This window comes from Homo sapiens, chromosome 19, assembly GCF_000001405.40.
Source record: "Homo sapiens chromosome 19, GRCh38.p14 Primary Assembly".
Lineage (NCBI taxonomy): Eukaryota > Metazoa > Chordata > Mammalia > Primates > Hominidae > Homo > Homo sapiens.
Window position 1 is genome coordinate 3210403 of NC_000019.10, and position 27487 is coordinate 3237889.

The window sequence follows — 27487 nt, forward strand, 5'->3', positions numbered from 1 at the left end:
AGCTGCCATGTGTCCCTGGCCTGAGATCCGTGCTCTCGGGGAAGGAGGAGAGGCAGAGATGTGCCGGTGAGAAGAAGCAGGGAGAGGTGGGGGCGTGGGGAGGCCAGGGCAGCTGAGGAAGCTGCCCTGAGGGAGGCAGTGTCCTGCAGACTGGCTGGAAGGGAGGGTGTCTGAGCTGCGACCTGAATGATGAGGCAGCCGGGGTGAAACCTGGAGGAGAAGATTGCAAGCAGAGGCACAGCCCACCTGTGCAAAGGCCCTGGTGCAGGACGGCACCGGGCGTGTTGGAGGAACAGCAGGAAGGCCTGTGTGGCTCGAGCAGAGGGAGTGAGGGTGGGGAAGGGACAGGGCAGGTTGTGCAGGGCCTGGTGGGCCACGGGGAGGACTTGGGCTTTGACCCCAGGGCAGCTGGGAGCCATGGAGGGCTGTGGGTAGAAGAGCGACAGGCCCTGACTCAGGTGCTCCCAGGCGCCCTCTGACGGCTACCGCAGGGAGGACAGACGGGAGTGGCGAGGGTTTAGCCTAGGACCGGGTAGAGGTGACTGGGCTGGCACAAGTGGAGGCAGAGAAGGATGGGCTCATCCTGTTCCCCCTCCACCGCTGTGTTCCTGGAGTGCAGAGGAGGGGCTACAGAGATGCTTCCAGAACCAGTGTGTGGCCTGGACCAAGACCTGGACTGCTGGGGGCTTCCTGAGCAAGACCCACATCCCTGCAGTCAAAGCTGCCTCTTCTCAGACCAGGGAACTTCAGAAACAGGCAGGGAACCCACCCCCCCACCAGGGTCCCCTAGGAATCGGCAACAGAGCCTCAAACCCAGCACGGGGTCTCTGCCTCCCCAAAACATGTGGCAGGAGAAGCTTGTTCAGGAGGGAGAGGAGGGAGGGGATGGACCCAGAGCGAAAGGCAGGCAGGGCAGGGTTGCAGGAAAAGAAAGAGGCTCACCTGACTCCGGAGCATGGGGCCGCTGGCCACTGGGGATGGAATGGCGGGGGCAGTGCTTACCTGACCCCGGAGCATGGGGCCGCTGGCCACTGGGGATGGAATGGTGGGGGCAGTGCTTGGGCTTCCCTGGGCGGCGAGCAGAGGCCAGGTTCGGCCCCCACGTGCTGTGTGGCCCTGGGGCATGGGGGCTGTGCCTCCCTGGACCAAATTTTACCAGTTCAGGGGGCTCTAGGGTCCAGGGGTTTGACCTTCTTGGGGTCCTGCGTGATTCTCCAGGAGCTTAGCAGGGCCAAGAGTGGACAGTGGCTGCCCACCTCTGTGCAGGCAGAAGGTGGCTTTGGCCCCATCGTGGACCCAGGCAAACCCCATTTTAGAGGAAAAGCCAGCCCATCATCTTCCCTGCTAACATACACAGGTAATTTTTCCTTTTTTTTTTTTTTTTTAGAGACAGGGTCTCACACCCGGCATGGTGGCTTCACGTCTGTAATCCCAGCACTCTGGGAGTCAGAGGCAGGAGGATCACTTGAGGTCAGAGTTTGAGACCAGCCTGGCCAACATGATGAAAACCCGTCTCTGCTAAAAATATAAAAATTAGCCGGGGGTGGTGGTACACATCTGTAGTCCCAGCTACTCGGGAGGCCGAGGCAGAAGAATCCATTGAACCTGGGAAGCGGAGGTTGCAGTGAGCCAAGATCATGCCACTGCACTGCAGCCTGGGCGACAGAGCGAGACTTTGACTCAAAAAACATAAAATAGGGTCTTGCTCTGTCACCCAGGCTGGAGTGCAGTGGTGCAATCATAGCTCACTGCAGCCTTGACCTGGGCTCAAGTGATCCTCCTGCCACAGCCTCCCAAGTAGCTGGGACTGCAGGCAAATGCCACCATGCCCGGCTACATTTTGTAAATATTTTTGTAGAGATTGGATCTTGCCATGTTGCCCAGGCTGGTCTTGAACTCCTGGCCTCAAGCAATCCTCTCACTTCAGCCTCTGAACGCACTAGGAATACAGGCATGAACCACTGTGCCCGGCCGGATTAGTTTCATTCAACTATCGATTCAGCGAACACTTGAACTCTGCTCTGCCAGGTCCTGTGCCAGGCTCAGGGATACAGGCGTGTGCAAGAGACGCTGGCCTGGACGCCATGGGGCTCGCAGTCCACTGTGGGAGTTGGATAATAAGTGGTCAAGTAGGTGGGCTGCCTTCAGATGGTGATCAATGGCTGGGTGCTGTTTTACAATTGAGTCCACACTGGAGGCTCCCTGAGGAGGGACTTTGAGGTTTTGTTTTGTTTGCTTGTTTGTTTTTTTGAGACAGTCTTGCTCTGTCACCCAGGCTGGAGTGTAGAGGCCCTATCTTGACTCACGGCAACCTTCGTCTCCTGGGTCCAAGCGATTCTCCTGCTGCAGCCTCCCTGAGTAGCTGGGACTAGAGAGGTATGCCACCAAATTTTGTATTTTTAGTAGAAATCAGGTTTTGGCATATTGGCCAGGCTGACCTTGAACTCCTAACCTCAGGAGATCTGCCCGCCTCGGCCTCCCGAAGTGCCGGGACTACAGGTGTGACACCACGCCCGGCCTGTTTGAGTTTGACTCTGTCACCCGGGCTGGAGTGCAGTGATGTGTTCTCGGCTCACTGCAACTTCCTTCTCCTGGGTTCAAGCAATTCTCATGCCTCAGCCTCCTGAGTAACTGGGACTACAGGCACCTGGCTAAATTTTTTTATTTTTAGTAGAGACAGGGTTTCACCATGTTGGCCAGGCTTGCCTCAAACTCCTGACCTCCGGTGATTCCCCGTCGCAGCCTCCCAAAGTGTTGGGTTTATGGGCGTGAGCCACTGCGCCCGGCCTGGAGGGGGCTTTTGAGTGAAATTGGAATGACAAGGATTATTACATCATGTGGAAATGTGGGGACAGTGGTTAAGGCAGTGAGCACAGCCGGTGCAAAGGCCCTGGGGCAGGATCGCGCCTGGTGTGTTGGAGGAACAGTGAGGAGGCCCATGTGGCTGGAGCAGAGTGAGCTGGGGGAGAGAGTGAGGCAGGAGAGAGAGGGAGGAGGGGGAGAAAGGAAGGGGAGAGGGAGGAGGGAGAGGGAGGAAGCAGGGAGGTTTCAGGCCATGCAGGGCCTCCTGGGGGAAGGGGAGGGTAAGGAGAGCAGAAATGGTGTCTGACCTTCACTGAATCTGGAAAGGTCACCGGCAGCCAGAGGACAGTTATGAAAATGAAACGAGGCCGGGCGCTGGGGCTCACACCTGTAATCCCAGCACTTTGGGAAGCCAAGGCAGGCGGATCACAAGGTCAAGAGATGGAGACCAACCTGGCCAACATGGTGAAGCCCCGTCTCTACTAAAAATACAAAAATTAGCCGGGCGTGGTAGCACGCACCTGTAGTCCCAGCTACTCGGGAGGCTGAGGCAGGAGAATCCTGTGAACCCAGGAGGCGGAGGTTGCAGTGAGCTTAGATCGTGCCGTTGCACCCCAGCCTGGGCGACAGAGCATGACTCTGTCTCAAAAAAAAAAAAAGAAAGGAAATGACATCGAGCTGCCCGTGTTGGGCACATGTGAGGCCTCTTTCCGGGGCTCCCTCGGTGCCCTCAGGCCTCACCTTAGCCCCGGTCAACCCTGGGCAGCAGTGAACGAGGAAGACAAAGACGTCCCCCCAGCAAGGGTATTGTACTACCTCCCAGAGGCCAGGTCCAGGGGCCATGATCTCTTCCTGGAGGCCTTTTAAGTTGATAAAACATCAGCTAATGTCCCTTGAAACCAGCACAGTTTCTCTCCAGAGGTGCTGTCCACTCTATGCATCTTTCTCATTTTTTATATTTTTTGTAGAGATGGAGTCTTGCTATTTGCACAGGCTGGCCTCTGTCTCCTGGCCTCAAGTGATGCTCCCGCCTCAGCCTCTCAAAGCTGTGGGAATACAGGTGTGAGCCACCGCGCCTGGGCCCCTGGGTAGATGCTTTTTTTTTTTTTTTTTGCTTTTTTTTTTGAGACGGAGTTTCGCTTTTGCTGCCCAGGCTGGAGTGCAGTGGCACGATCTCAGCTCACTGCAACCTCCACCTCCCAGGTTCAAGTGATTTTCCTGCCTCAGCCTCCCGAGTAGCTGGGATTACAGGCACCCGCCACCATGCCTGGCTAATTTTTTTATTTTTATTTATTTGTTTATTTATTGAGATGGAGTCTTGCTGTGTCACCCAGGCTGGCATGCAGTGGCACAATCTCGGCTCACTGCAACCTCTGCCTCCTGGGTTCAAGTGTTTCTCCGGCCTCAGCCTCCTGAGTAGCTGGGATTACAGGTGCGTGCCACCACACCCAGCTAATTTTTGTATTTGTAGTAGAGACAGGGTTTCACCGTGTTGGTCAGGCTGGTCTTGAACTCCTGACCCCGTGATCCACCTGCCTCAGCCTCCCAACGTGCTGGGATTACAGGCGTGAGCCACTGAACCTGGCCAATTTTTGTTATTTTTAGTAGAGATGGGGTTTCGCCATGTTGGCCAGGCTGGTCTCAAACTCCTGACCTCAGGTGATCCACCTGCTTCGGCCTCCCAAAGTGCCGGGATTACCTGTGTGAGCCACCGCGCCCAGACTTGGGTAATTGCTTTTCAGATGCTCATGTTACAGATGGTAACATGGAGGCCGAGCACAAGGGGTTCAGACGTGGATTGGACGAATCTGAGGGCCACGCCATTAGCCACATACTGAGTGGAGTGGGCGAAAAGGGCCCAGGTTTAGGTCACCGGGATAACCAGTGTCCAGAGATGGACGGCACTTACCTGAGGCCACAGAGCAGGTGAGGATGAGCCCCAGCGGGAGCGAGTAGCCAGGGAGCCGGCCTGCCTCCTGGGCTGGGGAGAAGACACTGGAAGAGCCTGGAGACCGCCCAGCCTCCCTGATTCCACGCTAGACATTTAATTCTTTCTTTTTCTTTTGAGACAGAGTCTCGCCCTGTCACGCAGGCTGGAATGCAGTGGCGTGATCTTGGCTCACTGCAGCCACCGCCTCCTGGGTTCAAGTGATTCTCCTGCCTCAACCTCCCGAGTAGCTGGAATTTGCAGGTGCCCGCCACCATGCTTGGCTAATTTTTTTTTTTTTTCAGCCAGTGGTGTAAATTTTCCTTTAAGAGATAGTAAGGTGTTTTCTGTCACCCAGGCCGGTGTATAGTGGCGCAATCATGGCTCACTGCAACCTAGACCTCCCAGGCTCAAGCGACCCTCCCACCTCGGCCTCCCAAGTAGCTGGGACTGCTGGTATGTGCCACCGCGCCCGGCTTATTTTTGTATTTTTGTAATTTTGTAGAGATAGGGTTTCTCTTTGTTGCGCAGGCTGGTCTGGAACTCGTGGGCTCCAGCGATTCTCCTGCCTTGGTCTCCCAAAGTAGTGGGATTACAGGCGTGAGCCACCACGCCAGCCACCTGGTCAAATGAAGCTTTTTTTTTTTTTTTCTGAGACGGAGTCTGGCTCTGTCGCCCAGGTTGGAGTGCAGTGGCACGATCTCGGCTCACTGCAAGCTCCGCCTCCCGGGTTCACGCCACTCTGCTGCCTCAGCCTCCCGAGTAGCTGGGACTACAGGTGCCCGCCACCACGCCTGGCTAATTTTTTGTACTTTTAGTAGAGATGGGGTTTCACCGTGTTAGCCAGGATGGTCTCCATCTCCTGACCTCGTGATCCGCCCGCCTCGGCCTCCCAAAGTGCTGGGATTACAGGCGTGAGCCACCGCGCCCGGCCGCAAATTAAGCATTTTTAAAAGAGCTGATTGATATCAAGGAAAACATCAAATAGTACTGGTGCCCCTCACACCCATTAGGATGGCTACCATTAAAAAAAAAAAAGCGTGTTTTCCCAGCACTTTGGGAGGCCGAGGCAGGTGAATCACTTGAGGTCAGGAGTTCAAGACCAGCCTGACCAACATGGTGAAACCCCATCTCTGCTAAAAATACAAAAATTAGCCAGGCGTGGCCGGGCGCGGTGGCTCACACCTGTAATCCCAGCGCTTTGAGAGGCTGAGGCGAGCGGATCACGAGGTCAGGAGATCGAGACCATCCTGGCTAACACAGTGAAACCCCGTCTCTACTAAAAATACAAAAAATTAGCCCAGCGTGGTGGCAGGTGCCTGTAGTCCCAGCTACTCGGGAGGCTGAGGCAGGAGAATGGCGTGAACTCGGGAAGCAGAGCTTGCAGTGAGCCAAGATCGCTGCAACTGCACTCCAGGCTGGGTGACAGAGTGAGACTCCGTCTCTCTAAAAAAAAAAAAAAAAAAAAAAAAAGCCAGGTGTGGTAGTATGCACCTATAATTCCAGTTACTCGAGAGGCTGAGGCAGGAAAATCACTTGAACCCAGGAGGTGGAGGTTGCAGTGAGCCAAGATCGTGACACTATACTCCAGCCTGGGTGACAGAGCAAGTCTCTATCTCAAAAAAAAAAAAAAGAAATTTAAAAATAGAATTGCCATAAGAGCCAGCATTCCCACTCCTGGGTATATTCCCAGCAAAACGGAAGGCATGAGCTGCATCCTGCAAAATTCCAGGTGCCTTGACTTGCCCCCTCAGAGAAATGGGGATGAGAGTTCCTGCTGGGTGTATGGCAGACACCGTGAACAGTGTCACCGTGAACAGGGACACAGAGATATTTGTACACCCATGTTCACAGCAGCACAATTCACAATAACCCCAAAGGTGGAAACAACCCAAGGGGTGGTGGACAGAAAAATGGATCAACACACTGTGGTCCATCCACACAGTGGAATATTACTCAGCCATGAAAAGGAAGGGAATCCTGACGCAGGCTACAGTGCGGAGGCATCTTGAGGACCTCAGGCTCAGTGAGAGAAGCCAGACACAGAGGGACAAATGCCGTGTGATTCCACTCCTAGGAAGTCCCTGGAGTCATCAAATTCACAGAGACAGAAAGTAGGATGGGGATGCCAGGGGCTGGGGAGGGAGATGGGGAGTGAGTGTTTCATAGACTCAAAGAGTTTCAGTTTGGGAAGATAAAGTTCTGGAGAGGGTGGAGGTGATGGTTGCACAGCCACGTGAATGTGTTTTTAACGCTGCTGAACTGTGCACTTAGAAGTAGGTCACGCTGGGCACAGTGACTCACGCCTGTAATCCCAGCACTTCGGGAGGCCAAGACGGGTGGATCACCTGAGGTCAGGAGTTCGAGACCAGCCTGGCCGACATGGCGAAACCCCGTCTCTACTAAGAACACAAAAATTAGCCAGGCATGGTGGCGGGCACCTGTAATCCCAGCTACTTGGGAGGCTGAGGCAAGAATTGCTTGAACCTGGGAGGTGGAGGTTGCGGTGAGCTGAGATCACGCCACTGCACTCCAACCTGGGTGACAGAGCGAGACTGTCTCAAAAAAAAAAAAGAAAAAAAAAAAAGAAACCGGGTGCAGTGGCTTATCCTTGTAATCCCGGCACTTTGGGAGGCTGAGGCAGGCAGACTGCTTGAGTTCAGGAGTTCAAAACCAGCCTAAGCAACATAGCAAGACCCCATCTCTACAAAAAATAAAAGAATTCGCTGGCATTGTGGCTCGAGCCTGTGTCCCAGCTACTCGGGAGGCTGAGGTGGGAGGATCACTTGAGCCCGGGAAGTTGAGATTTCAGTGAGCTATGATTGAACCACTGCACTCCAGCCTGGGCAACAAAGCGAGACCTTGTCTCAAAAGAATAAAATACAAAATGGTTAAGTGTATTATTTTGTTATGTGTATTTTATCACTGTTTAAAAAAAAAAAAAAAAATAAGCCAGGCGTGGTGGCTTACGCCTGTTATCCCATTACTTTGGGAGGCTGAAGTGGGTGATTATCTGAGGTCAGGAGTTTGAGATCAGCCTGGCCAATGTGGTGAAACCTCGTCTCTACTAAAAATACAAAAATTAGCCAGTCATGGTGACGCACGCCTGTTGTCCCAACTACTGAGGAGGCTGAAGCGGGAGAATCGCTTGAATCCAGGAGGCGGAGGTTGCAGTGAGCCGAGATCGCACTGCTGCACTCCAGCCTGAGTGACACAGCGGGACTCCGTCTCAAAAAGAAATAGATAAATAGCCCCTGGAGCCCACAGCTCTGGCAAAATCCATGAAGGTGGAAAACATGAGCTGCATCCTGTGAAGTTCTGGGTGCCTCGACTTGCCCCTCTGAGAAATGGGGATGACAGGTCCTGCTGTGTGCACGGAGGACACCGTGCCTGGTACGTGGCAGATAAATAGTCAGTGTCACCCTGAGCTGGACGGGCCTGGGGGCCTGGGAGGGGGTCCGTGTGCTGGCCGGCAAGGCAGAGACGCCTTGACGCCGCATGGCGTGGGTTTGAGACCAGGCAGCCGGTGAGCCCAGTTGGCTTTGGGAAGCTCTGAATTCCTTTGAGCACCGAAGAGAAAAGAATAAGCTGTGTTGGCTTCGATACCCAAATCCTCCATCTGACAGCCGTGACTGCTAAATCGGCTCTGCTTCCCTTCCTGTTTTCAAGTTTTAGACTTTCTCGATTCCAAAGTGATTCACGGTCGTCGTGGGAAGACGAGAAAAATTCAAAAGAAGAAGAAAGAAAGACCGGGCGCGGCGGCTCACGCCTGTAATCCCAGCACTTTGGGAGGCCGAGGCGGGTGGATCACGAGGTCAGGAGATCGAGACCATCCTGGCTGACACGGTGAAACCCCGTCTCTACTAAAAATACAAAAAATTAGCCGGGCGTGGTGGCGGGCGCCTGTAGTCCCAGCTACTCGGGAGGCTGAGGCAGGAGCATGGCGTGAACCCCGGAGGCGGAGGTTGCAGTGAGCCGAGATTGTGCCACTGCACTCCAGCCTGGGCAACAGAGCGAGACTCCGTCTCAAAAAAAGAAAAAAAAAAAAGAAAAACCTAAGGAGGCCAAGGAGGAGGAAGAAGAACAAAAGGCTTGCAGATTCCTTTTTTTTGTTTGTTTGTTTTTTGTTTTGAGACGGAGTCTCGCTCTGTGGCCCAGGCTGGAGTGCGGTGGCTCCATCTCAGCTCACTGCAAGCTCCGCCTCCCAGTTCAAGCGATTCTCCTGCCTCAGCCTCCTGAGTAGCTGGGATCACAGGCACCCGCCACCACGCCCAGCTAATTTTTGTATTTTTAGTGGAGACAGGGTTTTACCATGTTGGCCAGGCTCATCTCAAACTCCCGACCTCAGGTGATCTGCCCGCCTCGGCCTCCCAAAGTGCTGGGATTACAGGTGTGAGTCGCCGCGCCCTGCCACTCCCACGCGCTTTACTTCCTCAGTAACATCCATGGCACGGGCATCCTGCAGTGACCGATGCCCACCAGACTGCATCCGCTAACAAGACAGGGAGACCGGCCTGTGGTACCCAGATGTGCCCAAGCTCACAGCCTCACTATTCTCCGTGCTCACAGCCTCGCTATTCTCCAGGCTCACAGCCTCGCTATTCTCCAGGCTCACAGCCTCGCTATTCTCCGTGCTCACCCACCCCCTTAGCTGTGCCACGGATGAAATTCAGGAGGCAGAATGCTGGGTTTAAGTGCTCAGAAGTCAGACCCGAATTCGGTTGGGCTCTTGTTTTGGGTGGAAGAAAGAGGAGGAAGAGGCTGAAAAAAGTGCATCTTTGGCTCATAGGAGTTTGTGAGTTTCTCTTTTGATTTTGTTTTCTTTTGAGACAGAGTTTTGCTCTTGTTGCCCAGGGTGGAGTGCGATGGTACAGTCTTGGCTTACTGTAGCCTGGACCTCCCTGGGCTGAAGCGATCCTCCCACCTCAGCCTCCCAAGTAGCTGGAACCACAGGTGCCTGCCACCACACCCGGCTAATTTTTGTATTTTTTGTAGAGATGGAGTCTTGCTATGTTACAGCTCAGGCTAGTGTGGAACTCCCGGGCTCAAGCAGTCCTCCCAGCTCGGCCTCCCAAAGTGCTGGGATTACAGGCATGATTTTTCTTTTTTTTTTGAGACGGAGTCTCGCTCTGTTGCCCAGGCTGGAGTGCGGTGGCGCGATCTTGGCTCACTGCAAACTCCGCCTCCCGGGTTCAAGCAATTCTCCTGCCTCAGCCTCCTGAGTAGCTGGGACTACTGGCACACACCACCACGCCCAACTTTTTGTAATTTCAGTAGGGATGGGGTTTTGCCATGTTGGCCAAGATGGTCTCAATCTCTTGCCCTCATGATGTGCCTGCCTCGGCCTCCCAAGGTGCTAGGATTACAGGTATGAGCCACCACACCCGGCCAAATTTTAGACACGGGGTTTCACCATGTTGGCCAGGCTGGTCTCGAACTCCTGACCTCAAGTGATCCACTTGCCTTGGCTTCCCAAAGTGCTGGGATTACAGGCGTGAGCCACTGCGCCCGGCCAGGCGTGATTTTTAAAATTCTTATTAAGGACTCTCCCAGAACACCAGAGGCTCACGGGGCTCTGAGCATCCTGCTTGAGTCTCCATGGAGACGAAGCCTATGTCTCCTGGCCGACTCCACCAGCCCCAGTGCCACGCTGTGCCCGGCCAAGCCTCAGCTGAGTCTAAGCACCTGCGTCTGTGCTGGGCCGAGTGGCAGGATGTTGTGGGAGAACCCCTGACCCCTTGCCCAGCTCTGCTCGTCACCCAGTTCTGATGTTCTGTTCCATCTGGGGGTGGCCAGGAGGCTGCCAGTAACAGCAATGATGAATAGCCATTCACTGAGCTAAGCTCCCAGACACTCTGCTAAGCCCACATTTTAGTTCATGAGTCCACACCAGACCAGGGCCTTCACCATATCCTCTTTTTCTTTTTCTTTTTTTTTTTTTGAGATGGCGTCTCACTTGGTCGTTCAGGCTGGCGTGCAGTGGTGCGATCTCGGCTCACTGCAACCTCCACCTCCCAGGTTCAGGCGATTCTGCCTCAGCCTCCCAAGTAGCTGGGATTACAGGTGCATGCCACCACGCCCGGCTAATTGTGTATTTTTAGTAGAGATGGGGTTTTGCCACGCTGGCCAGGATGGTCTCGAACTCCTGACCTCAGATCATCTGCCAGCCTTGGCCTCCCCAAGTGCTGGGATTACAGGTGTGAGTCACCGTGCCCGGTCCCTCTCCTCTCTCTTTAGTCCTGCTTGGCAAATAAGGAAACTGGGGCTCAGCTGCCTGATGTGTGGGGAGATGGTATGGGATGGTGGGAAGTGTGTGTGCTCCAGAGTCTGGCTTCCTGGGTTTACATCCCAGCTCTCTTACCGTGTGGTCTTGCACCAGCCACTGGAGCTCTCTGGGCCTCAGTTCCCCCTCTAACGCGGGTGGACATTTCATACAAATGGCGTCACACGCTGTGTGGTCTTCTGTGTTTGACATCTTTCACCAAGCATGATGTGCTCAAGGTATGGCTTGGGTCAGAGCCTCATTTTTTTTTTCATGGCTGAGTCGTGTTCCATTGGCTGGATGGAGCACAAAATGTCCTCTAAAGCCAGGCATGGTGGCTCACACTTGTCATCCCAGCACTTTGAGAGGCTGAGGCGGGAGGATTGCTTGAGCCCAGAAGTTTGCGTACAGCCTGGACAACATAGCAAGACTCCATTTCTACAAAAAATTTAAAAATTAGCCAGGCATGGTGGCATGGACATCTGTGGTCCCAGCTACTCTGGAGGCTGAGGCAGGAGGATCGCTTGAGCCCAAGAGGTCAAGGCTGCAGCAAGCTATGATCATGCCACTGCACTCCAGCCTGGGTGACAGAGCGATACCCTGCCTTATAAATAAATAAATAAATAAAATTGTAAATTAGCCAGGTGTGGTGGTGGGAGCCTGTAATCCCAGCTACTCAGGAGGCTGAGGCATGAGAATCACTTGAACCCAGGAGGTGGAAGTTGCAGTGAGCCGAGATTGCACCACTGCACTCCAGCCTGGGCGACAGCAAGAGCCTGTCTCAAAAAATAAATAAAATAAGAATTAAAAATTAAATTTTAGGCTGGGCGCAGTAGCTCATGCCTGTAATCCCAGCACTTTGGGAGGCTGAGGTGGGCAGATCACCTAAGGTCAGGAGTTCGACACCAGCCTGGCCAACATGGTGAAACCCATCTCTACTAAAAATACAAAAATTAGCCAGGTGTGGTGGCACATGCCTGTAATCCCAGCTACACTGGAGACTGAGACAGGAGAATTGCTTGAACCCGGGAGGCAGAGGTTGCAGTGAGCCGAGATAATGCCACTGCACTCCAGCCTGGGTGACACAGCGAGACTCTGTCTCAATAATAAATAAATAAATAAATAAGTACGTTAATAAAATTTTACACTATTTGGGTGTGGTGGGGTGCAACTGTAATCCCAGCTACTCAGGTGGCTGAGGCAGGAGAATCATTTGAACCTGGTAGGTGGAGGTTGCAGTAAGCCAAGATCACACCATTGCACTTCAGCCTGGGCGACAGAGAGAGACTCCATCTCGAAAAAAATAAAAATAAAAATGAAAATAAAATTTTAAATGGGTGTAACTCTGTGGAGGGAAAAAGAAGGCTGAGAAAGGAGATAATGGTGACTGAGCGGTTTTAGATAAGGTAGATGGGGAAAGTGATGGGGAATTAAGGAATGAGCCACACATCATCTGGGGAGAGCACATCCCAGACAAAGGGTACAGCCCGTGCAAAGGCCCTGAGGCAGGACCGCACCTGACAAGTGAGAGGAACAGCGAGGAGGCCTGTGTAGCTGCAGCAGTGAGGAGGGGGAGAGAGGGAGCAGGGGAAGGTGGGGACAAGGCAGAACAGGACACGCAGAGCCTTGTGGGCCTCAAGAAGGACTTGGGCTTTAATTATGGGACATCTTTGGGAAGTGTTTTTTTTTTTTTTTTTTTTGAGACAAGATTTCATTCTGTCGCCTAGACCAGAGGCAGTGGTGCGATCCTGGTTCACTGCAGCTTTAATATCCCAGGGATCAACCGATGCTCCCACCGCAGCCTCCGAGTAGCTGGGACCAACGGTGCACACCAACCACTCCTGGCTGATTTTTTTTTTTTTTTTTCTCAAACAGAGTTTCACTCTTGTTGCCCAGGCTGGAGTGCAATGGCGCAATCTCGGCTCACTGCAATCTCCGCCTCCCGGGTTCAAGCGATTTTCCTGCCTCAGCCTCCTGAGTAGCTGGGATTACAGGCATGCACAACCATGCCTGGCTAATTTTTGTGTTTTTAGTAGAGACAGAGTTTTCTCCATGTTGATCAGGCTGGTCTCGAACTCCTGATCTCAGGTGATCCACCTGCCTCAGCCTCCCAAAGTGCTGGGATTACAGGTGTGAGCCATCGTGCCTGGCCTGTTTTCTTATTTTTTACAGCAATGGCGTCTCACTATGTTGCTCAGGCTGGTCTCCAACTCCTGGGCTCAAGTGGTCCTCCTGACTCTGCTTCTCAAAGTGCTGGGATTACAGGTGTGAGCCACCACGGCCAGCACGTATTATTATTTTTATTAATATTATTGATGAGTTTCATACGTAAAGGATCACGGGCACTTTAGAGCTGGGAGATACTTCAGTATTTCTCCTATCCTGTCATTATCAGTGCGAGCCAGTCTCCCTCCTTGTTGATGACATTATTGATGAGTTACATACTTAAAGGGCCAAGGACACTTTCTATGTGTAAGCACCCTATAGAACTGGAAGATACTTTTACCATTTCTCCTGTGCTGTCGTGATTAGTGGGAGCACTTTGTCTTGCTCTTGATTAATTATTATTAGTGTTGTTATTATTAGGTGTTTTTTTTTTTTTTTTTTACCAAGACGGAGTTTTGCTCTTGTTGCCCAGGCTGGAGTACAATGGCACAATCTTGGCTCACTGCAACCTCCGCCTCCTGGGTTCAAGTGATTATCCTGCCTCAGCCTCCCGAGTAGCTGGGATTACAGGCACCCCCCGCCACCGAGCCCAGCTAATTTTTGTATTCTTTAGTAGAGACGGGGTTTCACCGTGTTAGCCAGTCTGGTCTCGAACTCCTGACCTCAAGTGATCCACCCACCTCGGCCTCCCAAAGTGCTGAGATGACAGGCGTGAGCCACCGCGCCCAGCCATATTATTAGTGTTATTAATATTATTGATGAGTTACCTACTTTAAGGATCACGGGCGCTTTCAACGACAAGCCCCCTACATTATCCCAGCAACTTTTGACATTCTTCCGGCCGATGCCCTCCGCGGGAGCCGGCGGGGACCCCTGGGAAGCCGGCTAAGGCCCGTCCCGCCCGCAGCTCCGCCCTCGCCCACCCGTAGGCGGGGCCCGGGGCCTTCCGGCCTCAGTTTCCCCCCGCGGCCCGGGGATGCGGGGAGGCGCCGGCTGCCCCGCGCGGCGCGGCCGCCAGGGGCCGCTGCGGAGCCGCCTTTGTGGTCCCGATGCCGGGGCGGGCGCGGGCGGGAGGAGGGCGCGGGGGCCCGGGAGGGAGGCGGGAGGCGCGGCCGCCGCTCCAGCTGCGAGTCCGCCCGCCGCCCGCCGCCGCCGCCGCCGGCTCGGTCCCGCGCCCGCCATGGCCCGCCTGACGGAGAGCGAGGCGCGCCGGCAGCAGCAGCAGCTCCTGCAGCCGCGGCCCTCGCCCGTGGGCAGCAGCGGGCCCGAGCCCCCCGGGGGGCAGCCCGACGGCATGAAGGACCTGGACGCCATCAAACTCTTCGTGGGCCAGATCCCGCGGCACCTGGACGAGAAGGACCTCAAGCCGCTCTTCGAGCAGTTCGGCCGCATCTACGAGCTCACGGTGCTCAAAGACCCCTACACGGGGATGCACAAAGGTGGGCGCCCGGCCCCCTCCCCCCTCTCCCCCTCCCTCCGCCTCCCACCCCACCTTCCGGCATCTTCTCTCCCCCATCACCATCCCTCCTCTGCTCACCTCCCTCCTCTGCCTGCCTCTGCCGGAGCATCGGTTCTTACCCCCTCCCTCCCACCCACCCCTCCTCCCCTCTCTGGGGGTGCAGCTGACAGATCCGAGCGGGCCCCCTCCCCTCCTCCGCCCCCTCTCCCTCCCTCCCCACCTTCCGGCATCTCCTCTCTCTCTCCCTCTCTCTCTCCCTCTCTCTCTCCCTTTCTCTTCTCTCCCATCTCCCTCGACCTCTCATCCTTCCCCCCACAGCACCCTCTCTCTCCCTCCCTCCCTCCCTCACCCTTCCATCCCCCAGACCCCCACCCCTTCCTCCCTCCCTCACCCCACTCTTTCCTGCCCGTTTGCCAGGGGAGCCTCGGGAACGCCGGCACCCCTCCCTGCCCCCCCACCCCCATTCATTCAGCCTCCCCAGGCCCCGTCGGGGAAGTTTGCACCTGCGGACTCCATTGCTTTGGTTATTTTCACAAAGCCAGGCCGGCGGGGCAGGTCCGGCCGCGGGGGACACGGATGCCCAGGACCCCAGGCTAATCGGTAACTACAAAGGAAGACGGGTTGGGGGCGCCCGGCTCGGGGGGACGCGCCCGCCTCGCCTGCCTCGGGTGGCGGAGAGGCTCCCGTCGCTGCCCACCCCCTGGCCCCACCACCTCCGCGTGGATCAGCATTCTCTCCTCCATTTCTCTGCCCTCCCCCTCCCCCGCCTCCACCTTGGGCTCAAGTTGAAACTGGCCGAGCCTCTTAGCAATGTGTTGGGGTCTCAGGCCCAAGACAATGAGCTTGGACGTGTCCATCTGGGCAGAGCCCAAATTCTGGGGTGGACAGGGAGGAGGAGGGAGGCGTGGGCGGCCTCAGGCCTGTCTGCCTCCCTCCCACTGGATTCTCCCTCCGATGGCATCCCGGGTGGGGGTGTCCGGCAATTGTATCCCCAGCCCTTGGTTCCCATCATGGGCCCAGCGTCTGAATTGGGGTGGCTTTGACAGCCTTCCGGTCAGGTGTTGGGGACTGGGGGTGCCACTTCAAAGGCCTTGTGCTGGACACCCCCGGCCCTCCCCCTCCCATCCTCCAGGAAGACCCTGGAGAGGCCTTGGGGAAGGACCGGGGCCCATGACCTATTTTACACCCACTTTTTCCCCAGCGCTGCGTGCCCGGTAAGCATGAATGCATGTTTATTGAATGAATGAATTGAATGAATGAATGAATGAATGAATGAATGAATGAAGGGGTTCAAGAAGGCCCTAGGGAGGGTCTGGTGAGATGGGGCCCAGGCCTGTCACTTCAGCTAGACCCTCCAGCTGGTTATCTTGAGGGAGGAAAGAAACCCCTCCCCATTCCCCATCTCTTTTCAAAACCAACCATCACACACACACACACACACACACACACACACACACAAAATTGGGCCTGAAAAATCTAACTCCTCCATGTGGCCTAGGAGGGCAGAGGGGCTCCCATGCGGCCCCCATAAGTCAATATCTGGAGTCCAGAGGTGATAGGTGGGCTTTTCCCACACGCCCCCACCCCTGGGTACACCCAAAGCACCCATTTCTAGAAAGATTCCCGTGGGAATGGGGGAGTCCACATGGCCCCCCAAACGGTTGCATTGAAAGGCCGCTGGTTGAGCTCTAGGTCGGAGAGACAGGTGGGGGTGCAGGGACTGGAGCATCCTGGTGACTCTTCTTCATCTTTTTTTTTTTTTCCTTCTTATTTTTAAATCTCTGGGAAACCTGGGCACGGGAGAAGTGAGGGGTGAAGGAGGGGCTGGGGCTGGGTTTTCACCTGGCCCTGAGCCTCAGTTTCCCTGCTGTCAACAGAGCAGGACCATGACGCATCCCCAGTTCTTTTTTTACAGGTTGGAGAATGTTGGGGTCCCTGGGGTACCTCGGGGGTATTTCCCATTTGCGGGCTTTCCTTGGAGGGTGAGAATTGAGAAGCCGTGTGCACGACAGCCGGCAATCACCCTCCACTTTTTAGGGGTCCCAGGTCCGTCTGTGTGTGAGATACAGGGGCTTCACCTCGTGTCGAAAATGGGTCCAGTACCCTCGGGGAAGTGAATCCCCACCTGCGTGGGGCCTGGCTGGACTTCACCTGGTCTTTGCCTGCAGGTGCTTGGCACGAAGGGGTGGGGGGGTGTCTTCAGAATCAGCATCTGTGATCCAGGTTTGCGTTTGGGGCTCAGCTGTGTGACTTCTGGCTAGTGACTGCCCCTCTCTGGGCCCTCTCTGGGCCTTGGCTGAAGGGAGGTGGAATGGTGAATGGGAAGTCAGGATTTTTGGGGAGAGGAGTGAGTTCAGACACCTGCCACCAACATGACCTTATTAGGGCTGTTTCTGGGAGCCCTGGCGTGGTTTAGTGTGCCTGTTCAGAGTGGCAGGGCCTTGGGGATATGGACCCCAGGCCTGGAGAGAAATCCCTTTCCCTGGATGCCCGGCGGGGCCCATGAGACTGGGCACAGGAGATCTGTAAGGAGTAGAGTGGGGTGGGATGAGAACACCCTGGAGGTGCACCCGGCTCCTGGTACAAGCCCGGAGGGGGTCAGCTGGTACCACCTCTAGCCCTTCCTTGGTGTCCAGGCTGCAGGGACTTGTTTGATTTCCCCATGGAACCCATCGCCATGGAGGTGGGCTCCGAGTGACAGCGCATTTCTGGGAAACTGAGGGCTTGAGAGACATACCCTGGGTCCCACATTTACCGGAGCTAGGCCCCCATTACCCCCCCTGCCTTCCTCCCAGGCCAGGAGAAGCAGCTGTGCCTGTATCTGTGTGACATAGGGGTGACAGGTTCCCCAAAGCCAAGAGTGAGGCCCCCAGAGATGGTGCTGGGGATGGAGGGGCCCGTGACACCTGACAGCCACAGCTGGCCTGGCCGAAGGTGGCGTGGGGGCAGCCAGATTCCTAGAGGCCGTGCTGAGACTCAGAGAAAGGCAGGAGGCCTCATCCAGGAGCGGGGCAGGGGTAGGGGGAGAGGGATGCGTCGAGGTGGTCTTCCGAAAGAGGGCAGGCCCTGGGGCGCTGGGTTTGTTTTTAAGAGAGAGAGAGAGAGAGAGATGAGGACACAGAGAGAGAGAGAGAGACACGCAGGGAAAGAGAGACAGAGAGACCCACAGAGAGACAGAGACAGAGAAACACAGACAGGGAGGGGGCTGCAGAGAGATGCAGGCCCACAGGAAGACCACAAGCCTGCTCCTGCCAGAACTCCGCATCCAGAGAGCGGGGACCTCCCCCAGGAAGGACCCCCACCCCAGGCCAGGGGCTCAGGCCAAGAACTGGAGGCTGGGATTGGGGCTCCCGCTGGCCCCCCTGCAGTTCCTGCCCCGGGGACCCTCCCTCCAAGGCAGGCACCTCTGGAGCTGTGGCTGCCCCTGTCTATGGATGGTGGCTGCCTGGGTGCCCACCCTGCCAGGGGAAGGTGCCCACGGTGGTACTGGTCCGCCGCTGCCACTGGGCCCCCCGTTTATGGTAATCGCATATACATTTGCATGTTAATGACAATATTTGTCTTAAAGCGGAGGTTGCGCTGGGGGACGGTGCAGGTGGGGGGGGGGCCCGGCGGGGGCCCGGGTGGGGGCCCGCGGTTTCCATGGGAGCACCAGCTGCCGGCTCGACTCGGGAGGGGGGGAGGAGGAGGCTGTAGCAGGCTGAGCTCTGAGGCGTGAGATTCCGCGTGTGACGCACCAGCTCCAGGGAGAAGGCGGGCTGGGCGGCCTGGCGGGGGGACCGCGGGAGCAGTTGGCACCCCTGGTGGTGGCGGGGACAGCGGCAGGGGGCTGGGGGTGGCTGGCAGGGTTGGCCGGCGTGTGTGTGTGTGTGTGTGTGTGTGTGTGTGTGTGTGTGTACGCGGGCGCGCGCCTGGGAAGGACTCCTGCCGGGGTGCTGTGTGGCTTCAAGCTGAGCGCGCCCCTCTCTGTGCCTCGTTTTCCCCTGCTGCATATTCTCTCCTTTATTTAACAGACTTTCATAAGGCCCCGGAGCCTCACACCTGTGACTGTGACATCGTTTCTGCACCTCCCTCCCCCCGCCCCCCGCTTCAGGCAAAGAGCATTTATTGAACGCCTACTGTTTTCCAGCATTTATGCAGAGCTGGGCATTTGGTGTGAACAGAATTCCTTGTAGGATTCATGATGGAGTGGGCTAGATGTTAATCCGTCCACCTGTATGACCAACATTTATTGAGAGCTTGCTGTGTACCAGGCCCTGTTCTAGACCCTGGGCTACTGGGTTGGGCAAAACAAATAAAATCTGCCATCCCTACCCCCCATCCAGACCTCCCCTCCCACCAGATTCCAGTTTAGGGGACGGAGACAGCTGGGGAACTGGGCTTACAAGGCACCGAGCTCAGGAATATGATGGCAAAACACACACCAGCAGTGACAGCCCAGAGGGGGGCCCTGCCCCCGCAGGAGTGGAGGCCAGGAGGGCCGCCTGGAGGAGGCAGTTAGTGTAGGAGAGTCGTTGAGAGCTTGGAGATGAGATGAGTCTGGTTTCCCTGCGTCTTGTGGCCTTGGGCAGATGTCTTCATCCCTCCAGGCTGCAGTGGGTCTTCCCGTTTCAGAGGAAATGAGGGAGGTGAGAGCAGAAGTGGCAGGGAGAGCAGAGAACAGAAGAGGCTGTTGGCATGGGGCCGGGCACAGAGTATGTGCTTGGTCAGTGGGAGCGGGCTTGTTACATGACTACGCTGAGGCCCGAAGCGTGAGGAGGATGCACTGACGGGGAAAGGTGTTCCTGACAATGTGCGAGGGCCCAGAGGGGCGCTAACTCCAGGGAAGCTCAGGTGCAGGGAGGATGGAGTTTTTGCCCTGGTAGGAAAGGAGCAGAGGGGCTTGGGAGCTCAGGGTCCCCTTCTTCTATGGGGCTCACCTGTTGAGGCTCTTCCGAGGGGTCTTAGCTTGGGGCTGGACCCGGGAGGTTATCTCTGAAGTGGGCTTGTGTCTCTCTCTTTCACCCCTCAAATTGGCAAGTGAGGCCTTGGCCATTGGAAACACCTGGTAGGACCACACTCATTCATTCATTCATTCATTCATTCATTCATTCATTCACACAACACTTCTTGAAAACCTTCTGTGGCCTTACCTCGTACTGAGCAAGAGGGGTCTGAGGCCAGAGCTAGACATTGGCACCTATAGTCCAGTGGTCTGGCTTGGGTCAGAGGGAGGGGTGCAGGGTTGAGGGAACTGGATAATGAAGCAGGAGCTCTGCCTGGAGGAGGGGCATTAGAAATGGGGCTTTGAAGGATCGACAGGAGCTTTCCAGGTGGAGAAAGCATTTTATTTATGCATTCACAGAAACACTTACTGTGTTCCAGGCCCTATGATGGGCATGAAACACAGCAGTGAACAAGATAGGTACATGTCTTGACTTCCTGGATATAGGGAGAGGGAACTGGATCTATGAAGGCCTGGAGGCATGAAGAATTTGCACAGCTAGGGTAGAGGACGGATTAGGTGAGGCGTGGGAGATGAGGCTGGAGAGTCAGCATGGGCTGGACCAGGAAAGCCTCTGATGCTGGACTGAGCTTGGACTCTTTCCTGAGGGCACTGGGGAGCCATGGAAGAGTTTAGAGCAGGGAGGAACTCAGGCAGACCTGCATGGGAAGCGGGCTTCACATCCTGTTAACTCCCATTGCCACCACCAGCCTCTTCCCAGCCTCCCAGCCTTGCTCAAAATATGCTCGTTTCCTTCACACCTGGATGGACAAAATAGAAGCTTCCAGTTGGGGTGAGGCCCACAGTGTGGGAAGAGAGAAATACAAAGAAGCAGATGTGTGTTCCGATTACATTGGCTCTTAGAGAACCAAGTTCCCCTCCTCCATGTGAAGCACAGGAGGAGATCGGAGCCCAGAGAGGGGCAACACCCAGCCCAAGTCATACAGCAGTACAGCTGGGCTTCACGCCTCCCAGCCTGAGCTTTGACCCGCTCTGGAAGGATAAAAAGAAACATGATTTTGGAAACATAGACCAGGGTCAGAGCCATCCAGGGAGGCTGGCTGTCCTTGAACTTAAGATGATCAGGGCCAAAGGGAAGGGCTGTTAGGTTTGGAAGACACTGGCCTAGCAGGAGTCCAGTTGGTCTGGAGTCATAGTCAACATCAGTGATATGTAAGCTCTAGGAGGGCAGAAATTGTGTCTTGTTTGCCATTTGGAAGTGAGCTTGTGGATGAACAAGGGCATGAGGAAATGAGACGATCTGGGGATTGGAGAATGGATGGGCTGGCTAACAGATGGATGGAGAGATAGATATGTGAATCAATGGATACAGACATGGATGGATGGATGAATGGGTGACAGTGACTCTAGATATGAGTGGATTTGATGGATAGAAAAGTGGGTAGATCAGTGGAAGGTTTGAATGGATTGATGGATGGGTGAACGGATGGATGGATGGATGGATGGATGGATGGATGGATGGATGGATGGGTGGATGAATGGATTTATGGATGGATGGGTGGATGAGTAGTGGATGGATGGATTTGTAGATGGGTGGGTGGATGGATGGATGGATTTGTAGATGGGTGGGTGGATGGATGGATGGATGGATAGATGGATGGATGGTAGATGGGTGGATGGATGGATGGATGGATTGGTGGGTGAATGGATGAGCAGGTGGGTGGATGGATGGATGGATGGGCGGATGAATAGATTGGTGGATGATGGGGGAGCGATGGATGGGCATATGGATGGGTGGGTGGGTGGGTTGGTGGGTCAATGAGTGCATGGATGGATGGATGGGTAGGTGGGTGGATAGATGAGTGGATGGATGGATGGATGGATGCATGAATGAATGAGTGAATGAGTGAATGAATAGATGGATGGATGATGGGTAGATGGAGAAATTAATGGTTGGATGGATGGATGAAAAGATGGATGGGTAATTGGTGGATGGAATACTAGATAGATGGGTGGGTGCATGGATGAATGGATGGATGGATGATGGATAGAAGATGGGATAGACTGAAGGATGGAAGGATGCTTCCTCAACCTTTACTACCTTCCTCCTCACCTGGTGAATACGAATGTTCAGAACCTTTGCTCTCAGACAGGCTTGGTTCCAATCCTGGCTCCATTTTTAAATTTCTGTGTAATCCTGAAAAAGTCACCTCATCTTTTCTGAACCTTAGCTACTTTGTAAAAGAGAAGTAATACAGGTAGCTAGTTCACAGAGCAGTTGTCAAAATTGGAACTAATTTATATGATGTGGCCAGGCGTGGTAGCTCACACCTGTAATCCCATTGCTTTGGGAGGTTGAGGTGGGAGGATCCCTTGAGCCCAGGAGTTCAAGACCAGCCTGAGCAACACAGCTCTACAAAAAATAAAAACCATATCCAGGTGTGGTGGTGTGCAACTGTAGTCCCAGCCACTCAGGAGGCTGAGGAGGGAGGATTGCTTGATCACAGGAGTTAGAGATTACAGTGAACTATGATCGCACCACTGCATCCCAGCCTGCGTGATAGAGTGAGGCCCTTTACAGAGTGAGTCTGTAAAGAAAAAAAAAAATGTGGTGTGATTCATGTAATTAACCTGAATAATGACTTGCATATTGTAGGTGTTCTCCATAAATGGTCAGGCAGTCAAAATAGTCAACAGGCTGGCTGCAGTGCATCACGCCTGTAATCCCAGCACTTTGGGAGGCTGAGGTGGGAGGATTGCTTGAGCCCAGGAGTTCCAGACCAGCCTGGGCAACATAGCAAGACCCCTTCTCTACAAAAAATAAATTTAGGCTGGGCGTGGTGGCTCACGCCTATAATCCCAGCACTTTGGGAGGCCGAGGTGGGTGGATCACCAGAGGTCGGGAGTTCGAGACCAGCCTGACCAACATGGAGAAACCCCATCTCTGCTAAAAATACAAAATTAGCCGGGTGTGGTGGTGCATGTCTGTAATCCCAGCTACTCGGGAGGCTGAGGCAAGAGAATCGCTTGAACCCGGGAGGCAGAGGTTGTGGTGAGCTGAGATCATGCCATTGCACTCCAGCCTGGGCAACAAGAGTGAAACTCCGTCTCAAAAAAAATAAAAATTAAAATTAAAAATAAATAAATAAATAAATAAATAAATAAGTTTTTAAAAAAGCTGCACGTGGTGGCATGTGCCTAGAGCCCTAGCTGCTTGGGAGGCTGAGGTGCGAGGATGGCTTGAGCCTGGGGAGGTGGAGGCTACAGTGAGCCATGATTATGCCACTGCACTCCAATCTGGAAAACAGATCTAAACCCTGTCTCAAAATTCAAAAGGCAACAACTTTATTAAGTCTGTATTGTGTGCCAGCCATTGAGCGAGGCTTGAGGACATAAAGCAATTCAGGGGGTAGGAGAGACTGACGATAAACTAGGAAACAAATAAAGTTGAGATAGGTGTGAGGTGAGCTGCTGTGAACAAACAAACTAAAGATGTGTGTTGGGAGATGACAGCTTTCCTTGGGGGCCAGAGATGGCCTTTCTAGGAGGTGACGTTTGAGACGAGACCTGAATGACAGATGGGAAGGCTGTTATGCTACAACCAAGGGAAAGGCGTTCCAGGAAGAGTGCAGAGGCCCTGAGGCAGGACCACCACATCTGGTGTGTTGGAGGAACAGCAAGGAGGCCCTTGTGGCTGGAGCAGAGTGAGGAGGGGGAGAGAGGGAGGAGAAGAGGGCAGAGAGGGAGTCGCGCAGGTTGTTGAGCGGGTTCTGTGTGTCTTGGAAGGACTTTGGTTTTTACCCCAAGAGAGGTGGAGCCATGGAGACCTGTGGCAGGGGAGGGACAGGGTCTCTCAGGGGAATATGGACAATGTGGATTCTGGGTCCTCCATTTTTTAGATGGGGAAACTAAGGCACAGAAGGCCCTAGAATGTGTCAGGAAGTTCTGCCACTAGGCTTATGCCTGGCTCTTCTGAGGAGCTCCTGAAGACGGCGGCGCCTGGAGGTAGCTGGAAGACAGAGTGGAGCAGGCCCCTCAGTGCCCTCCCATTCTCCCAGCAGCCTTTGAGGGTGGGGTCTTTATATCCAAGAGGATTTGCATTCTTGTCCCTGACCCTCCACTAGGGGGAAGGACCAGAGGGCATGCCTCTAGCAGAGCTAGGAGCCACCAGAAGAACTTTGTACACATAGGGAAATGGAGGCCCAGGTAGAGGAGGGGAGGTCAATTCACCAGCTCTTGGCAAGGGAGGCGAGGAAGAGGAAGGGATCTAGTGATGTGGTTCGTTCTCTCTCTCTCTCTCTCTCCCTCCCTCTTTCAAGAGATTGGCATCTCACTATGTTGCTAAGGCTGGTCTCAAACTCCTGGGCTCAAGCAATCTTCCCGCCTTGGCCTCCCAAAGCATTGAGATCGTAGGTGTGAGCCACCGCGCCCAGCCATGATGTGGTTCTCAATGGGAGTTATTCTAGGACACTTGGCAATGTCTGGAGACATTTGTGGTTGTCATGATTTGGGGGTGCTTCTGGCTGCGAGTGGTGTCGAGTGGGTGGAGGCCAGGAATGCTGCTCAATACCCCACAGCGCCCAGGGTGACAGATGATCCGGCCCCAAGCATCCACGGTGCAGAAGCTGAGAAACCCTGGTCCAGGGTACACCAGTGACCTGGCTTGGGCAGTTGGCACACAGTGCAGTGTCCTGGGGATGAGGCCTGAAGGTACCTAGGACAAAACCTGGGAATGCCCTTGACTTCCCTCTCTCACAACAACAACCGCACCTCCTATCCCTCCATCAGCAGATTCTGATGGCTCTGCCTTCAAAACCTCTCCAGAATCTGCCCACTTCTCTCTCCTCTGCCTTCACCTGGTCCAGCCCCCTCATCCCTCACCTGGACCAGTGCAGTCCCTGTGCCCTTGTCCCTGGCTCCCACCTTCGCGCCCCACAGTCTGTCCTCCCCGCAGCAGCCACCAGAGAGCGCCTGTGAGCACCTGAGTCAGGACCCGTCCCTCCTCTGCCTGCAGCCCTCCGTGGCTCCCACCTCCCTTAGAGTCAAAGCTGAAGTCCTCCCGTGACCTGCCTCATCCCCTTCATACCATCCCCTGCCCCCTCTCTCCTCCTCGCTCCCTCTGTTCCAGCCACACTGGCCTCCTTGCTGTTTCTGCAACAGGCAAGGCGTGGTCCTACTCCAGGACCTTTGCATGGGCTGTGCCCTCTGCATAAATGTTCTTCCCCCAGATACTCACATAGCTCCTTCCTTTCTCTTCTGTAAGCTTCACCTTTTTTTGTGAAACCCCTGTGATGGCAGGATTTGTAATCTAGTCACTCCCAGAACTCCAAGTTCCTTTTTCCTCCTTTCCTTTTTTTTTTCCTGTGCAAATGAAGACCTCTAACATACTATATATATCGCTTTTAATTTTATTTGCTTTTTCTCCTTCCTAATAGACTGTAAGCCTCATTAGCACAGAGATTTTCACCTTTGTGTGTACTGCTGTGTCACCAGTGCCTAAAAGAGTGCTTTGAACATCACGCGAGGATAGATGGGTGGGTGGGTGGATGGATGGATGGATGAATAGGTGGGTGGGTGGATGGGTGGATGAGTGGATGGGTGGATGGATGTGTGGATGGGTGGGTGGATGGATGAATGAATGGATGGGTGGATGAATAGGTGGGTGGGTGGATGGGTGGATGAGTGGATGGATGGATGGATGGATGGATGGATGGATGTGTGGATGGGTGGATGGATGGATGGATGGATGGATGTGTGGATGGGTGGATGGATGGATGGATGGATGGATGGATGTGTGGATGGGTGGATAGATGGATGGATGGATGAATGGATGGATGGATGGATGGATGGATGTGTGGATGGATGGATGGATGGATGAATGAATGGATGGATGGATGAATAGGTGGGAGGATGGTTGATTGGATGATGGACAAGTGGATGGGTGGACAGTTGGGTGGGTGTATGGATGGGGAAATTTCTGGTGTAGTGATGGGGACTGAAGCCGTAGGAGTCAAGATGCCTGGGCGAGAGATCTGGGGTCTAGAATGAGCCTCAAGGAACCCCCATATGTCAGGCTGTGGAGAGGAGCAGGCAGCATGGAGGCTGAGGAGCCACAGCCAGCAGGGCTGGACCTCATTTGGAGGCAGCATGGTTGACATAGGGTCCAGGAGGAGGACACCAGGGCCTCAGCACAGGAATCAAGGCATTTATGCGTGCATTGAGGGACAGTAAAAAGGGGGCAGAGAGCCCGTCTGTCTCGGTTTTCCTAGTGAAGTTGGGGAGAACTTTGGGCTAGGAAGGTGGAGGAGGAAGTGGAGAGGATGAGCAGCAAAGCTGAGTAGGTGGAGAAGGGAGGGTCCTGTGTCCTTTTCAGTGCATGTGTGGCCTCGTGGTTCCCATTTGGTGGATGAGACTGTGAAGGCTCAGAGAGGTTAAGTGGCTGGCCCAAGAGCACACAGCAGAAAGGTACTGAGCTGGCTTTGATCCTTATCTCCAATCACTAGATTACAGAACTGAGTTAAAGACTAAGAACTTGGAGACCCCTGCCATGCAGGGGGTTCGGGATCAAAGGGGTTGAGATGGGAGGGGGGTTCCTGGCTGGGGAGAGAAGAAGAGGATGAACAGCAATGTATTCCCTGTCTCTGTTTCCCCACCACCATCGGTGCATCGTAGGTGCTCAGGAATATTGAATGACTCTGAGCTAGGCATGGCAGGGAGGGGAAGGACAAAAATGAATCTAGGCCAGGCGCGATGGCTCACGCCTACAATCCCAGCACTTTGGGAGGCCGAGGTGGGTGATCACCTGAGGCCAGGAGTTTGAGACCAGCCTGGCCAACATGGTGAAACCCCATCTCTACTAAAAATACAAAAAACTAGCTGGGTGTGGTGGCGGGCCTGCACCTGTAATACCAGCTACTTGGGAGGCCGAAGTGGAAGAATCGCTTGAACCCGGGAGGCGGAGATTGCAGTGAGCTGAGATCGCGCCACTGCACTCCAGCCTGGACGACAGAGCAAGACTCCATCTCAAAAAAAAAAAAAAAAGTAAAGTAATAAAGAATGGCTACTCCGGCCAGGCGTGGTGGCTCACGCCTGTAATCCCAGCACTTTGGGAGGCCGAGACGGGTGGATCACGAGGTCAGGAGATCGAGACCATCCTGGCTAACACGGTGAAACCCCATCTCTACTAAAAATACAAAAAATTAGCCGGGCATGGTGGCAGGAACCTGTAGTCCCAGCTACTCGGGAGGCTGAGGCAGGAGAATGGCGTGAACCTGGGAGGTGGAGCTTGCAGTGAGCCGAGATCACGCCACTGCACTCCAGCCTGAGTGACAGAGCACGACTCCGTCTCAAAAAAAAAAAAAAAAAAAAAAAAAGGAAAGTAATAAAGAATAGCTACTGCATAGAGCAGCCGCCTGGGCTGCTTGTTGGCAGTTTTTATGGTTACTCCTTGACCATATGCTAAACAAGAGGTGGATTATTCATGAGTTTCCCGGGAAAGGGGTGGGCAGTTCCTGGAGCTGAAGGGTCCTCCACTTTTAGGATAATTTGCAGACGTTGCCATGGCGTTTGTAAACTGTCGTGGCGCGGGTGGGAGTGTCTCTTAGCATGCTAATGCATTATAATTAGCATGTAATGAGCAGTGAGGATGACCAGAGGTCACTTTCACCCCCATCTTGGTTTGAGTGGGTTTTGGCAGCTTATTTACCACATCCTGTTTTATAAGCAGGGTCTTTATGACCTGTATCTTTTGATACCGTTCTGCCAACCTCCTATCTCATCTCGTGATTAAGAATATCTAACTTGAGGCCGGACGCGGTGGCTCACGCCTGTAATCCCAGCACTTTGGGAGGCCGAGGCGGGTGGATCACGAGGTCAGGAGATCGAGACCATCCTGGCTAATACAGTGAAACCCCGTCTCTACTAAAA

The 27487-nt window shown here is 54.4% G+C and overlaps 1 protein-coding gene across 8 annotated transcripts in view, besides 4 other annotated features; it reads left to right on the top strand.

Moving 5' to 3' along the window:
* Window positions 14080–14199: a silencer, noted in NCBI's record as "silent region_9833". NCBI's record gives its function as "represses an Ori minimal core promoter by ATAC-STARR-seq in GM12878 lymphoblastoid cells {active_cell/tissue: GM12878}" and the evidence as "EXISTENCE:reporter gene assay evidence [ECO:0000049][PMID:35858748]".
* CELF5 (CUGBP Elav-like family member 5) overlaps window positions 14259–27487 on the top strand; it is a 72416-nt gene continuing 59187 nt past the window's right edge. For 6 of the 8 annotated variants that reach the window (XR_430147.2, XR_001753733.2, XM_006722832.2 and 3 more), the window contains exon 1: window positions 14259–14596. Coding sequence is in view for 4 of the 8 variants with exons in the window: in XM_006722832.2 (XP_006722895.1) it covers window positions 14338–14596 (259 nt within the window). In the remaining 4 variants the exon portion in view is untranslated. Of the gene's footprint in view, window positions 14597–14875; window positions 15217–27487 lie in introns of those variants that run through there. The other 2 variants (NR_033342.2, XM_006722837.5) reach the window with 1 other exon arrangement.
* Window positions 17450–17990: an enhancer, noted in NCBI's record as "H3K27ac-H3K4me1 hESC enhancer chr19:3227850-3228390 (GRCh37/hg19 assembly coordinates)". NCBI's record gives its function as "activates a minimal SCP1, AML or CMV promoter by ChIP-STARR-seq in naive H9 embryonic stem cells {active_cell/tissue: H9 hESC(naive)}" and the evidence as "EXISTENCE:reporter gene assay evidence [ECO:0000049][PMID:30033119]".
* Window positions 17991–18530: an enhancer, noted in NCBI's record as "H3K27ac-H3K4me1 hESC enhancer chr19:3228391-3228930 (GRCh37/hg19 assembly coordinates)". NCBI's record gives its function as "activates a minimal SCP1, AML or CMV promoter by ChIP-STARR-seq in naive H9 embryonic stem cells {active_cell/tissue: H9 hESC(naive)}" and the evidence as "EXISTENCE:reporter gene assay evidence [ECO:0000049][PMID:30033119]".
* Window positions 19072–19611: an enhancer, noted in NCBI's record as "H3K4me1 hESC enhancer chr19:3229472-3230011 (GRCh37/hg19 assembly coordinates)". NCBI's record gives its function as "activates a minimal SCP1, AML or CMV promoter by ChIP-STARR-seq in naive H9 embryonic stem cells {active_cell/tissue: H9 hESC(naive)}" and the evidence as "EXISTENCE:reporter gene assay evidence [ECO:0000049][PMID:30033119]".